This window comes from Homo sapiens, chromosome 22 (genome assembly GCF_000001405.40).
Source record: "Homo sapiens chromosome 22, GRCh38.p14 Primary Assembly".
NCBI lineage: Eukaryota > Metazoa > Chordata > Mammalia > Primates > Hominidae > Homo > Homo sapiens.
In genome coordinates, this window is record NC_000022.11 from 39,469,589 (window position 1) to 39,482,817 (window position 13,229).

General features: G+C 57.2%; 1 protein-coding gene and 1 long non-coding RNA gene across 2 annotated transcripts in view, besides 4 other annotated features; one reads left to right on the forward strand and one right to left on the reverse strand.

Moving 5' to 3' along the window:
- Positions 1–13,229, forward strand: part of MGAT3 (beta-1,4-mannosyl-glycoprotein 4-beta-N-acetylglucosaminyltransferase) — a 35,183-nt gene that overhangs the window by 12,577 nt on the left and 9,377 nt on the right. The window lies entirely within an intron of this gene.
- Positions 570–1,499: an enhancer, noted in NCBI's record as "H3K27ac-H3K4me1 hESC enhancer chr22:39866163-39867092 (GRCh37/hg19 assembly coordinates)". NCBI's record gives its function as "activates a minimal SCP1, AML or CMV promoter by ChIP-STARR-seq in naive H9 embryonic stem cells {active_cell/tissue: H9 hESC(naive)}" and the evidence as "EXISTENCE:reporter gene assay evidence [ECO:0000049][PMID:30033119]".
- Positions 3,768–4,125: a silencer, noted in NCBI's record as "fragment chr22:39869361-39869718 (GRCh37/hg19 assembly coordinates)". NCBI's record gives its function as "represses an EF-1alpha promoter that drives an FKBP-Casp9 reporter gene in an ReSE screen in phorbol 12-myristate 13-acetate-treated (for megakaryocytic differentiation) K562 erythroleukemia cells {active_cell/tissue: K562(+PMA)}" and the evidence as "EXISTENCE:reporter gene assay evidence [ECO:0000049][PMID:32094911]".
- Positions 4,291–5,220: an enhancer, noted in NCBI's record as "H3K27ac-H3K4me1 hESC enhancer chr22:39869884-39870813 (GRCh37/hg19 assembly coordinates)". NCBI's record gives its function as "activates a minimal SCP1, AML or CMV promoter by ChIP-STARR-seq in naive H9 embryonic stem cells {active_cell/tissue: H9 hESC(naive)}" and the evidence as "EXISTENCE:reporter gene assay evidence [ECO:0000049][PMID:30033119]".
- MGAT3-AS1 (MGAT3 antisense RNA 1) lies at positions 6,219–7,234 on the reverse strand. The gene is made up of 2 exons (NR_126469.1): positions 6,870–7,234; positions 6,219–6,351 (listed from the first exon to the last, which is right to left on the reverse strand). It is a non-coding gene; the product is annotated as an MGAT3 antisense RNA 1 (long non-coding RNA).
- Positions 8,858–9,359: an enhancer, noted in NCBI's record as "H3K4me1 hESC enhancer chr22:39874451-39874952 (GRCh37/hg19 assembly coordinates)". NCBI's record gives its function as "activates a minimal SCP1, AML or CMV promoter by ChIP-STARR-seq in primed H9 embryonic stem cells {active_cell/tissue: H9 hESC(primed)}" and the evidence as "EXISTENCE:reporter gene assay evidence [ECO:0000049][PMID:30033119]".

Below are 13,229 nucleotides of genomic sequence, written 5' to 3' on the forward strand. Positions count from 1 at the left end.
GTGCATGAGAGCCTCTGCCAGCCAACAACCCCTCCACTGCCACCCGGGGCACAATGCCTGGGACAAAGTCCCCAATGCTAGAGAAGACCCCAAAGGATGGGGAAGGGCGGGGAGCACCCTCCCTTCCATTTCCCCGTACCCCCGCTCCGCTCAGCCCGCCAGGCTGGAGATAGAGCTGAGGCTGTGTACTGAAGTGGCCCTTTGTACGTTGTCACCAGAGGATGGCGAGCCTGGGCGGGAGGGGCTGGCACTGCCGGGGCTGCAGGGCAGGGCGGCGCTGAACTCAGCAGAGCAGGGGCTTTCTCTGGGGCCACAGGGCAGGGGAGGAGCGCCTGTCAGGTGTGGGAACTTGCAGGCTGGGCCTGCACCCCCAAACCGGAGGATATTTGTCCCTCCAAGTCTGTTGCTGCTTCTCATCTGGGCTCCTGTGTCTTTGGACTGTTCCATGTCATCCAGCAGCTGTCCCTGCAGTGCATGCTCCAGGGCTGACTTTGTCCTGGGGGGTGGGGAACAGTGGCGACCGAGGCCTGTGGTGACCCTGCTCTCCTGTGGCCTCGCCAGCAGGGTGAGGGCGGGGCAGACGTAAACAACAAAGTGGGATCGCCTCTGCAGGGATGAGCGCTGGGGGGACAGCCTGGAGAGAGGGCTTGCGGGCGGGGGCAGCACTTCAGCCAGCTGCTCAGGGGCCCCTGTCTGACGAGTGGCATCAGAGCATGCAGGGACCTGAGGAAGGGCGTTCCAGGCGGAGGGATCAGCCAGTGCGAGGACCCTGGAATGGGGCCATGCCTGAAGAGTGTAGGAGACAGGAAGGTGGGGAGTGTGGCTGGAGCCTGGGGGACAAGGGAGGCAAGGTCAGCAGAAACGCAGGCATCAGATGGCCAGGGTCCATGGCACGCAGAGGAGTTGGGGTTTTAATTCTTAGTGTGACAGGGCCATGGGAGGGCTTGAGCAGGGAGATGTGGCCTGATGGGGAATTTGCGGTGACTCTGGCTGCTGCAGAGGCAGGAGGGAAGCTAGTGAGGACCTCGGGGTGGCAGAGGAGGCAGAGAGAGGTCCATCCTGGGAGCATTTGGGGGAACGGGGCCTGCAGGCTTTCCTGCCCCTCTGCCGGGCATGTGGTGAGGCCGCACCCAGCTCAGAGGACTGGCCTGTGTCAAGACTCTGGATGTTATCCGTTTTAATCCCCTCGGGGTTGGGATGGCCTCACATTGCTGATAGAGGCACCGAGGCCCAGGGTATTCAGTGACCTGCCCAAGATCACGGAGGAGGGTTTGGAAAGGGCAGGATTTGAATCCAGCCCCTTTTGAGTCTAGACTCCAGAGAGCTATGGCCCCAAAGCAGCCCTCGCCCCACGCTGACTCCTGAGAGATTGGGGGTGGGCACCCAGGACAGCCCAGGGTCCAGGAGAGCCCTCTCACAGAGGCAGAAGCACTCAGCCCAGCCCCCTCCTGCCCGGCTTTTCCTGGGCCTCCTTTGTTATCTGACGATGGCCACCCCCACTCAGACCAAAGGCTCTGGCTGCCCCTCTGCCTGGGAGGCACCACATCTCTGGGAGCCCTGGGGGTGGGGGCAGGGGCATTCTGACCTTGGAAGCCAGGGCAGGGCAGAGCTGGCTCCTTCCCTTCTCTTGTCCAGATGGTCTGGGGCAGTTTGTTCGGGCCTGTAAGGCTGAGTGGGCTGGGAGGTGGGTAGGGAGCTGAAAGCCCGAAGTATGGGGGTCTCGAGGATTTATCCCATTGGCCTCAGTGGGTCCCGTAAGCACGGAAGCTCTTAAGCCTTTGCGGAGGGGCTGGCAACAGGGGCCTATTGATGAATTAGAAGAAGCTGTGTTCCTTCCTTCCTCTAACCTGAAGCTTTGTTAATAATTAATCATCTGCCCAATTAATAATTACAGGCTTGAGCAGCCCCTTCCCACTGCCCTCACCCCACTCCAACCTCCTCTCCGTTCCTCCTTCCTTCGCCCTCCCAGCCCCCACTCCTACCCCCGCCCTTCCGGCCATCAGTCCTTGCCGGCCTTCCTCTGCAGAGATGGCAAGGCCCTGTGCCCTTGGGAGTCCCCCTGTCCCCCACACCACACAGGGCATCGGTTCTATTCTTCCCATGAGGGCCTTTCGGCAGCCCTCCAGGGCAGGTGCCACACAATCTGACACACAGAGACACGAGGCACAGGGGCAGAGGGGCAGAGCGACACGGTACTCATTCACTCATTCTTTCACTGGATGCTATTGCACTGTTCTCTGTGGTCAGCCACCACCCTGAGCAAGACAAGCAAACAGGAAATTCCTCTCCAGGCTTAGGGGATAGCGTGGGGGAACTCCTGAGCAGGCTGGGCTGAGGGCAGCCCCCCAGGGAAGGCAAGGGCTAGGAAGAGGGAGGAGTCCCTAGAGGGCGAGGTATTGGAGGGTGGGGCTTTTTGTATAAAGCTCCCCGGCAGCAGGAATGCTCAAAGCTCTGGGCTCAGCCTCCTTCCAGGGTAGGGTGTGATTTCTGTCTTCACCCTCAAGAGGGGTGTTCTGCACACTGAGGAATGAATGCCTTGCTAAGGGTGGACCCTTGGGCTTGGAGCCAGCAGTACAATAGCTGTCTGGCCGTCTCCTGTGGGCAGAATCCAGCCTCTGCCCCCACTCCCAGAGAGACCCAACTCCCTCCAAAAGGCTATGGACTCCTGAGCCCCCTTGCAGGAGAGGCAGTGTGGGTTCAGGCTCCCTGACCCCCGCCCTGTCCCTGCCCGGTACTTTGTCAGAGACTCGGGGTCCCGCCGTGCCGAGAGTGTATTTCTGAGCTCTTCCATGCATATAGTGTTCCTTGGTTCCCTATCCTCGTCCCACTGAGAATGTCCAGTAGCCCCTCTGGGAGTCGGGGTGCAGTTCTCGGGAACCCTCCCACACAGAGAGGGAGCAAGGCGAGGCTCACAAGAGATGGACCTGCTTTTTACTGAGCGCTTGGCCCTGACAGGCTCTCCACCTGTAAAACCACAGTGTCCCTACCTCCTCAAGCACCTGGCACCTAGGAGTGGCTCTGGGAGGGTGGGGCTGCCCCTCACTGCTGCCTGGTTACCTGTTTCACAAAGGAGGAGACTGAGGCTGGAGAGGTGAGGTGACCTAGCTGGAAAGAGGTGGAGCCAGGAAACCAGCCCAGATGGAGGGCAGGGCCAGCATCTGGCGGGACAAGGTTAGTTCCTCCTGCAGTCATCTAACTGACACCTGGGCTCAGCCTCTAGGGAGGAAACTGCTGCCATAGAGCCTTGAAAGCCAGGCAGAGGGGACTAGACACTGTGCCTCAAGGCAGGTATGGGCCGGTGAGGGAAGGAGGCGGCAATGGCTGGGAGGGGCCCAGGCAGGGGTCGGGCAGCTGCAATGCGGGCTGGAGTCTTGGGGAGTGTGGGCCACAGGGAAGGGTTGGATGCATGTCACTCACAGGGAGGGCCAGGGCTTGTCAGTTTGACTCACTGAACTTCGGTTTTCTCCTCTGTGAAATAGCAGTGGGAGGCGGATGTCCACACGAGATTAGAGAACAGCTAAGATACTGAGCACAGCCCCGTCAGAGGGCGGCTCTCGGGGAGGCCTCAGATGTGCTGTCCTCTCATTCCCCTCCTTAGTCCTGTGTGTGCTGCTACCACAGAATACCTGAGACTGGGTGGTCTGTAAACAGCAGAACTTTCTCACGGATCTGGAGGCTGGGAAGTCCAGGGTCGAGGAGCTAGCATATGGCGAGGGCCCTCATGCTGCGTCATCCCATGGCAGAAGGGCAGAAGTATCCACACATGGAGACGGGCAGGGCTGACCGCATGCAGTTATCAGGAACACGATAACTAACCCACTTTGAGCCCATGCTGTTATCAGGAACAATAACTAACCCACTCCTACAATAGCAGCATAAATTCCTCCATGAGGGTGGAGCCCTCACGGCCTAATCACCTCTTAAAGTCCACACCTCAACACCACTGCACTGGGGATTAAATTTCCTACATGTGAACGTTGGGGGACACATTTTTCAGACTATAGCACCCCCTACATGATTACAGGCTGGCAAGGGGAAGCTGTGGACACAGGGGCTTGGGGATCCCTGGGCCTGTGGCCAGGCCAGGCTAGCTGGAGGCCAGGATCAGGCAGACAGCAGCAAACAAACTCCCCAAGGAGGTGGTGCAGGTGGCATGGGACCCCTCGCTTGCTTGTCTCCAAGTTCCGGGTGATCGGGGCTAGGGGAAAATAATGGGGGTGGGGGGATGGAAGTTAAGGGGAGGAGGGGGGATGGATGAGGAGGGCAGCCTGGATGGAGGTGTGTGGGCAGGGGGCAGATGGATGTGGAGTGCCAGCTCCAGGGTAGATCAGGGCAAGGTTCTGCAGTGTGGGTCAGGATCCAGGGCCTCCGGAGCCTCCTGGAGTCTGGGCCTCACCTTGGAGTTTTCCTGACTTTTTGGACCTTGAGCCTCCTTTAAGCTGCAGGAGACCCAGACACGGCGCACTGTCCAGGGTGACCCGTTCCTGTTGGAGTTGGGTAGTGGTGGGAAGGGCTGCCCTGGGTACCCTTGGCCTTGCAGGGAACTCTGGGCTCTGGGAAACATAATTTCAGCCTGGCCTTGCAGTGTGCCACCGGGGTGCTCACATGGTTTCAGGCTGGTGAGGGGCTTAGGAGGTTGGCAGGATGGGCAGATGCAGCTTTCCTGGGCAGCGAATCCGATCATCTACCAGAGCTGGAGAGCCCTGTGACCTGAAAATGGCAGGCCCATGGGGTCCTGATGGCAGTGGGGGTGAGAGGGACCCTTGCCTTGGGCAAGGCTGAAGGCAGCAGCCTGGACTTTGCCCCTGAAACTCTGAGAAGCCCCAAGGCCGCAGGTGGGTGTGGACTCTGCTGCTGTCACTTGCCAGCTGCGAGTTTGAGGCCCTGTGTGCCTGTGGGGGTGGAATGAAGCGAGGCCAGTAGTGCTACAGTCTTCACATCACCCCCAACCCTCTCACAGCCCCAAGCACCTTCCCTGCACACTGGCCCAGCCCTCACGGGCTCCCACTGCCTCCTGGCTCTGCACACAGCAGGTCTGTGGTCATGTGTGGCCCTGCAGAGGGGACCCTTTTCCTCTCCCTGAGAGATAAAGAGCCCTGTGCCTGAAATGCCACCAGCAGTACTCATTCCTCTGGCTAATCCCAAACATTCACTGAATATTTGCTCTGGGTGCTTCGGGCAGGAGCCACTGCTCACTTCTGGCCTGGCCTGTTCCCCCAGGCCAAGTTTACATCTCTCCATTCCAGGCTTTGTGTGTAAGAGGCAGTCAGAGCCCTCGGGCCCTCCTGAAATGTGCATATGCACCACTAGCCCCGGCTGGGACATCCGCCCTCTGCTCCCTGATAAGGTCCCTCTCTGCCTGGACTGGGGACTGAGGATCCGAGATGGAAAAGCCCCAGCCCAGCGCCCCTGCCTTCCTGGAGTCAGAGAGGCCTGGGTTCTGCTTGTGGTGCGGCCTTCACCAATCACCCCCTCCTCAGGGCCTCCATCTCCCTGCTGGTGTGGAGTGAGGGATGAATTCACAGCAGGGCTTGCCAGGCTTTTTTTTTTTTTTTTTTTTTTAACTGTAGAAGCTTTCCTTCCAACAAAATCTTGCGAGGAGCTCAGTGTCTGAAATTGAAAAGCTGGGAGCATCTTCTTGATTGTGTTTTTTGGGGGCGAGTCCCTGGGCTTTGTTTTCTCTCCCCCTTCACTCCACCTCTCTCTCAGGTCCTGGGGCACCTGGAGGGGAGTTCCAGGGACCTGGCTGGGAAAGAGCTGTCCTCAGTGCCCATGGGACCAGTCCATGGGATGTGTCTGTACATCTGTGTATCGGGCCCTGAGGCCCACCTTTAGCCCACCTCCCCTCCCGAGGTCTCCTTCTGCCAATCACCTGCCTAATGCCCCTGCACCCTGGTGTCAGGCAGCCCCCCAGAGCTGCATCCCTCCCTCCTGTAGTTAACCAATGCTCTATGAGCCTCTCTCAGCCAAGACCTTGGCATCAGCTCACCACTGCCCCGCCCCTGGCCCTCCCCTTCATCACGGGCCGTCTCTCAGGCTTGGCGCCCTGGGATGCTCCCTTGCTCCAGCTCTGTGACTGTCCCCATGAGGGTCCTCCCTCAGTGCAGCCCCATCTCTCCAGCGGTGCTGGCACGATGGACCCGGTTGACTCCCTGCCTCCTGCCCTCTCCGTTCAGTCTAAACTGCACAGTCTAACGTAGGAACCACTAGAGCATGCAGCTATTAAAATTCAAATTAAATTAAGCTGGGTATGGTGGTGTGAGACTTGTCCCAACTACTCACGAGGCTGAGATGGGAGGATTGCTTGAGTCCAGGAATTCACATACAGCCTGGGTAACATAGGTCTCGTCTCTAAAAAACAAAAACAAAAACATTATGGAATGAGCCTCTGGGGATGAGGAGCTGATGTCCTGAATGGACCAGTGACCAGTGCAGGAGGGGTGGAGTCCTAGCAGGGGTAGATCCCAGCTTTGGGAACCAACTTTCCCAGGCACTTGCCGGCCACTCCGTGGGAAAGTCCTCAGGCAGCCTGCAGGGAGCTGGGATCAGCTGATGGGGATGGGTTTGGAGGGGAGAGAGTGGTGCACAGGGACTGGAGGTGGGGGAGGGGTGGGGTTGCCATGGAAAGGGCTCTTGGGATGGGTCTTGGGCTGAGCCTTTGGCAAGGCCTCCACCCTGGAGCTGAGCCAGCAGAGAGTGGGGCTGACTCCATGAGGCCCAGACTCTCGTGGGTATTCTGGTGGCCTGGGCACCCTGTCTTTCCTGAACCCTGCCTGCCTAATCTAAGAACTGCTCCCCTTGTAGCTCTGTCTCTCCTCTGTTGGCCTAGTTTCTTCATCCATGGGTGGGCACAGCAGAAGCTGTCTCACCTGCTCCATGGTGAACGGGATTTGCAAGGATTTGACTCTGGCCATCCAGGGAAGATGGAGTCTTTGACCAGGCCTGGCCCCTGAAGCAGACTTCTTCCTTCTGAGCCTGCTGGGGAAGCAGAATTCCTCGATGCTGGGTGTCATGGTCTACCAGGCCCTCCCTCGCCCAGGCCACTTGTGTTGAGCCTGGAGCAGAACCCCCAGATCTGTAGTCCGCCTGTCAGCTTGGGGAGTCTCCGTTTCCGTCTGTTTCATTCCCATCAGCTGTGTGTGGCTGAGCAAGTCACTTAACCTCTTGAGGCCTCCATGTCCTCATCTGCAAAATGGAGACACACATATCTGCGTCCCCGATGACCACCAGTAGCTGGGATGATACGTCGACTGCAGAGTGACCACTTTGTGTAGGCGTCCCTGTGGATGGTTGTCAGTCAAAGGAGTGAGTCAGATGATGAGAGGGGAGGACAGCAGAGCAGCAGTTGTTTCTTCAGTCTCGCCGGGACTCCAGGATCGGCCATGTTCTGCAGCCACCGCCTCTACCTGTCTCCCCATGTGGGATCCTGAAACCTCAAGCTGCATTTAGTTTCAGAGTCCGGGGAGGTGCTCACTGTCTTCTGACTCCTGAGATGCCGACTCCCTCTGCCATACCCCAGGGAAGGAACCAGTAGCAGAAGCTCCAGGGAAACTGATGAAGGTCAACAGAAGGAAGAACTTCTAGCAGCCCAAAGGGATTGGAATGGGCGGCCCGTGGGAGTGGACATGCAGAGGCACTGGCCTGGGGTGAAGCCTTGGACCAAATTCTTACTTGCAGGCCCTCTGGACCCAGGAGAGGAGTCTGCAGGCCTCGGCTGGGCCGGATTCCGCAGATTCTGGCCTAGGTCCTGAATGCCTGGTGAGTTACTGAGAAAGGCCCTACAGGCTGAGGGTGCCAGTCAGGGTGAAGCAGCCCCGCAATTGGCCCACCTCCTTTTGTACCTTAACAAAGGTGTCTTTGTTACCTTTCTTAAAGGAAATAAAGCCGGTCAGGAGCAAGGCCTGGCATATTCAGGGGGTCATCTGTATTTGGTCGTCCAGCGGGAAACCCAAATGGAAGGAAAGAAAAAAAAAAAAAACCATGCATTTATAGAACCTCTGCCAATGGCCAGGCTCCATGCAGAATGCTTTGACACCGTGGCTCAGCCAGGTCTCCCACAGGACTGCAAAACAGAGGGTGACATCTTTCTTTTAGATCGGAGAAGACTGAGGACCAGAGAAGCTAAGTAACTTGCCAAAGGGCACACAGCAAGTAAGTCATGGCACTGGGATTCAAACCAAATCCTCCAGACTTCCAGTAACAGTGGAGCCGGCGTGTCCTGAGCATCTGTTGTGTGCTTAGGCATGGTCCCTAGCTTTTTGCGGGGATTAACTCACTCAACTCTCACAACAACCCTGTGAGACAGAAACGGTTATACCTCCGTATCGTGGAGGGGGAAACTGAGGCACGGGGAGGCAGAGTGACTTGCCAAGGCCACAAGCAGTGTTCGGATCTGGCCATTGTGGCCACTGGCCTACCTTGTGCCCCAGGAGCTGCTGTACATGGCAGGGATTGCTGCAAAGATGTGCCTCCTGCCTTCTTTTTGGAGGTGGCAGAGCCCTTAGGTCACATGGGGCAGGACCAGGCCGGGTGGAAGGTGAGCACAGGGAGACGGGCTTCAGCGCGAAGCCCTTTCGTACAGTTGAACTAACTCCTGGAGAGGTAGTGCGGGTCCACCCCAAGGTGTACCAGGGCTGGGGGCAGTGGATGGGCTACTTCCTGCCCAGAAGTAGAGACTGAGGTTGTTTCTGGCATCCTCCAAAATGCCCCTCATGGACATTACAGGGATGCCCTGAGTGCCCACTGGGTGTTGGGCCTGCTTTACTGCTGGACATGTGACAGCTGGCCCCTTCTCCCAGTTGGAGGAGTGCCCAGTGGCTGTCCCCCAGCTGAAGACGCCAGACATCAGGTGTTGAGGGGCAGGCGGAGAAGGGGCCAGAGGGTGGTGGACAGGGGAACCGGCTGTTAAGACATGAGCCGTCTGAACCACGGAGGTGGGTGGCAGGGGCCAGGGTGAGGCCAGCCAAGGGCACCCTGGGGACTGAGCTAGGACTCTGGCCAGCACGGGCAAGCTCAGGACCACGGAGAGCTCCACAGGAGCCGCCCTTCACCAAGCGACAGCTGTCAGTGTGAGTCTGCACCTGGGAGGCTGCTACCTGCCTGGCCAGCTCCCACCATCACAGCCAGTGGCCTCCAGAGAGCACCTCCCTTCTCCCTGGCCAGAAGCCCCTGGCTGGGCTCCACCTGAGTCCTGACTATGAGGTCATGGCTGGGTCATGGAGTTTGGGCTCATCAGCTTCCCTCCCTCACAGCCCGTCAGGCTTCCAAGCAGAGCTAGAGAAAAATGGCACAAGAAGTGGGAAGAGGGAGGGAAAGAAGGAAATCTGTCCAGCTCAGACCCTCCAGGCCATGGCCACTGCCTGAGGCCTGCCTGCTGCCATCCTGGGTCAGCCTCAGCCTCCCTCTTCCAGGATCACCTGGCTGCCAGGAAGCACCTGGCCCATGCTCTACCACCTATCCCAACAGACCCAGGACCGGCCAGAGGCGGTGGCCCACGCTTGCAATCCCAACACTGGGGGGCCGAGGTATCACTTGAGCCCAGGAGGTCGAGACCAGCTTGGCAATGTAGGGAGACCTCCTCTCTACAAAAAAATGTTTAAAAAATCAGCCGAGTGGTGGCACACACCTGTAGTCCCAGCTACTTAGGAGGCTGAGGTGGGAGGATCACTTGAACCCAGGAGTTTGTGGCTGCAGTGAACCTTGACCACCCCACTGTACTCCAGCCTGCCTGGGTAACAAAGAAAGACAAAACCCTGTCTAAAAAAATTTAAAAAGTCACAGGCCCCTGGGGCTGGGCACAACTTACGGGGTGTCTGGCAGCGGGGTGGGGGTGGAGCCTCAAGCCCCCCTTTTCTTGGAGTCTCAGGAGGCGTGGCTTCCCAGCCCCTGGCCCCTCCCCACAGCAGGTTTAGGTTTTGCTCCCTGTTGCCCTGAGATAGGACAGCACCCACCTAGGCTTAGGCCCTGCCAGGGACTCACCTCCAAGCCTCTGCTTCTGGTGTGTCCCCACCCAAAGGCTCACTCTTTCTCTTCTCTGCCAGGCTGGGGAATAATAATAGAAGAGCTAGCACTTATCATTGAGTGCTTACTGTGTGCTAGGCATCTCATCGATGGGAAAACAGAGGTACAGAAAAGTGCTTAACCTGCACAAGGCCACACAGATAGGAGTGGCAGAGCTGGGATTTGAACTGGGGAGTCCGAGCACATGGAAGTGATGGTGAGGGCATTGTGGAGGCCCAGGGCAGTGCGGGGTGATCTCATTGAGCACCTGCTGTGTACATTCCCTGCTCTAGGGAGCTTATATGCCAGCTGGGAAGACAGACATCTAGGGGAAAATGAGCCTAGTGTTGACTGGGGCTGGGGCCGTGCATAGTTCTCTCTGATTCTTACTTGAAATAAGCAGGGCAGAGATAATGATACCCATTTTATACATGGAGGAGTTGAGGCTGAGAGAGGTCAGGTGACCTGCTCTGTTCATAGTGACTATAGGAACATTGATGATGATGAGGAGCTGGGGGAGGTTGGGAGAGTTCGGGATGGGCTCTGGCTTGGGGCAGAGGCAGGTGCTTTGGCTCCAGGGAGGCTATCTTGGCACAGAGCAGGCATCTGAGAAATACTAGGTGAATTTTAACGAACTGAGTAAGAGCCAGAGTATGGCATTTGTGCTAACAGAGATTAGCCTTGGTGGTGGGAAGGAGCTGGAGAGGGGTTTTGTCCTCAGAGAGCTGCCTGCCTGGGTCACAGAGGGCGCCCAGCCCAGGGAAGGCCCTAAGCCCTCGCTCAGTTAACCTTATTCCCCAGGTAGGTCCTAACCACAGTGACCCTCCTGGCTTCCTGAGCTGCTGGAGGACCTCAAGCCACGTACATCCAGGGAAGTAGGTGGGAGTGGGACAGTGGGCTGGACGATGTCCCCCACAGTGCTTTGAGGCCACAGGGGGACCACAGACAAAGCATATCCCACCCCGCCCATCCCTCAGGTGAAGCTTCTAGACAGCATGCTGCAGAGAGGACCTGAGGTTTGGATCTAGAGACAAAGGTTAGCCCAGGACCTGCTGCTAGCCAGTGTTTGACCTTGGCCATGTCCTTCACGCCCAGCCTCACTGTTGGTGTCTGCAGGAGGAGAAGTAGTGGTTAGGGCTAGGCCCTGCAGAGACAGATGCTGGCTGCAAGCCCCAGGTCTGCCAGATAGGGCCAGCCTCCTCCACCCCAGTCAAGGGCTGGTCCATTCTTCCAGTGCCTGGGGCCACCCAGTGTGCTGCCTTGCTCACATCCAGCTCTTCAGCAAATCCAGCAGAATCTGAGCACACTCTACACCCTACAACCTGGTGGAAGCCACCCTGACTCACCTGGGCAGTTCAGTGTGGCCTCCTGGCTTCCCCTGCCCTGCCCTTGAAGTGCCCATTCATTCTCAGCAGAGCAGCCAAAGTGAGCCATTCACACCAAGGTCAGGCCATGGCCTCCCTTCTCTGAATCCTCCAGTGAAAGCCACACTTCGAACCATGCCTCCAGGCCCTGTGATCTGGGTTTGTTCCCTGCCCCCCATGTCCCCTCACTTGCTCCGTCCCACCCGCCTTGCTGTTCTTCACTGGCGCACATACACTCCTGCCAGGGCACTGGTTGTGCCTTCTGCCTGGAACATTCTTCCCTGGCGCCCTCTCCTGCGTGGAGTCTGCTCACGTCGCCTCCTCGGTGAGCCTGCCCTGCCCACTCCATTCATCACTGGACATAATGACGCACTCGCTCCTGCCCGTTACCCGCTTTGTCTTTCTCCAGAGCACAGCCTCTTTGGGCGCGCAGTTTTCTGAGCTGACTAGTGTGTTTGTAGTTTACGCAGGCTCCCTACCCTGTTGGGTGCTGAGCAGGTTCCCTGAGGGCAGGGATTTTGGTCCGTCCTGTCTCCCCATGTTCCCAGTACCCACCGAGGTGCCTGGCACACGGGGCTCTGGCAAAATCGTTGCTGAGTGAATGAGTGACGTGGGTTGGGTGAGCACCCTGTGGCATGTTGTATGGATCAAATGCCCCAGGGCTGCACCATCCACTGGGTTGTCTTCACTGGTCACAGGTGGACTCCTCAGGGGCTCTGTCACTCTACTTGGGTTGAACTTGGCAGCTGGAAGGGGCTCAGGACAGCTTTACCACTGGATACAACCCCGTGATTGACCCTATAGGATCCAGTATGATCCTTCTATTGTGCAATGCTGTGCAAGCGACATCATCTCCCTGGCCTCGGTTTCCTTATACAAGGGTACCTGCTTCGTGTTGGGAGGATTCAGTACAGTCACGTGTGTAACAAGCTTAGGACAGTGTCTGGCATGTCAGCCTCAGTGATAGTTTTACTGTTACACCTGATGGTTTGTCAATGCTTTGTTATTTTTGCTTTTGAGATAAGAGTCTCACTCCCCTGCCCAGGCTGGAGTGCAGAATTGCGATCTCTCAGCTCACTGCAGCCTTGACCTGCAGGGCTCAAGCAGTCTTCCCACCTCAGCTTCCCAAGTAGCTAGAACTACAGGCACATAGTAGTTCTGCATGCCTGGCACTGCTAGAAAGTAGGCACTGCTAATTTTTTTTTTTTTTTTTTTTGTAGAGACGGGGTTTAGCCATGTTGCCCAAGCTGGTCTTGAACTCCCGGACTCAAGCAATCTGCCCACCTTGGCCTCCCAAAGTGCAGAGATTCCAGAGGCATGAGCCACTGTGCCCAGCTTTGATGAAGCTTTGTAATGGAAGCTGAAATGCCACCAACTGGGGCCCAGTTTGGTTCCATGGCTTTAGCCCACAGCTGGGCCACCTGCACTACAGAGGGATCTGGTGGTCTCAGCTGTCATGAGGGAGAGAGGCACTGGCTTGAGAACCAGAACTTACGTTCAAGTCCTGACTCAGCCACCTCCTTAATGATGTCCTTTGGGGAAAGTCTTGCCATCTTTCTGAGTCTCGTTTTCTCCATCTGTTAAAACAGGGCAGTTTAAATAACCTACCAGAGTGCCTGTGAGATTTAAATGAGACCCTGAGTGCCAGTGCTTATTTATTCCATTTTATTTATATGCTGTCTCAATAAAAAAATGAAAAGACAAAAAGGAATTGAGCTGAAAAGGATTGAAACTATGCGGGCAGCTGCAAGTGAAGGAGTCCAAGAAAATGCTGTCTGTGAGGTGCTGTTGACATGCTCTGGCTGACCACTGTGTGCTTCTGAGCCTCCTAGCAGCCTGAGTGATGAGGGAAACATGCCCAGATCC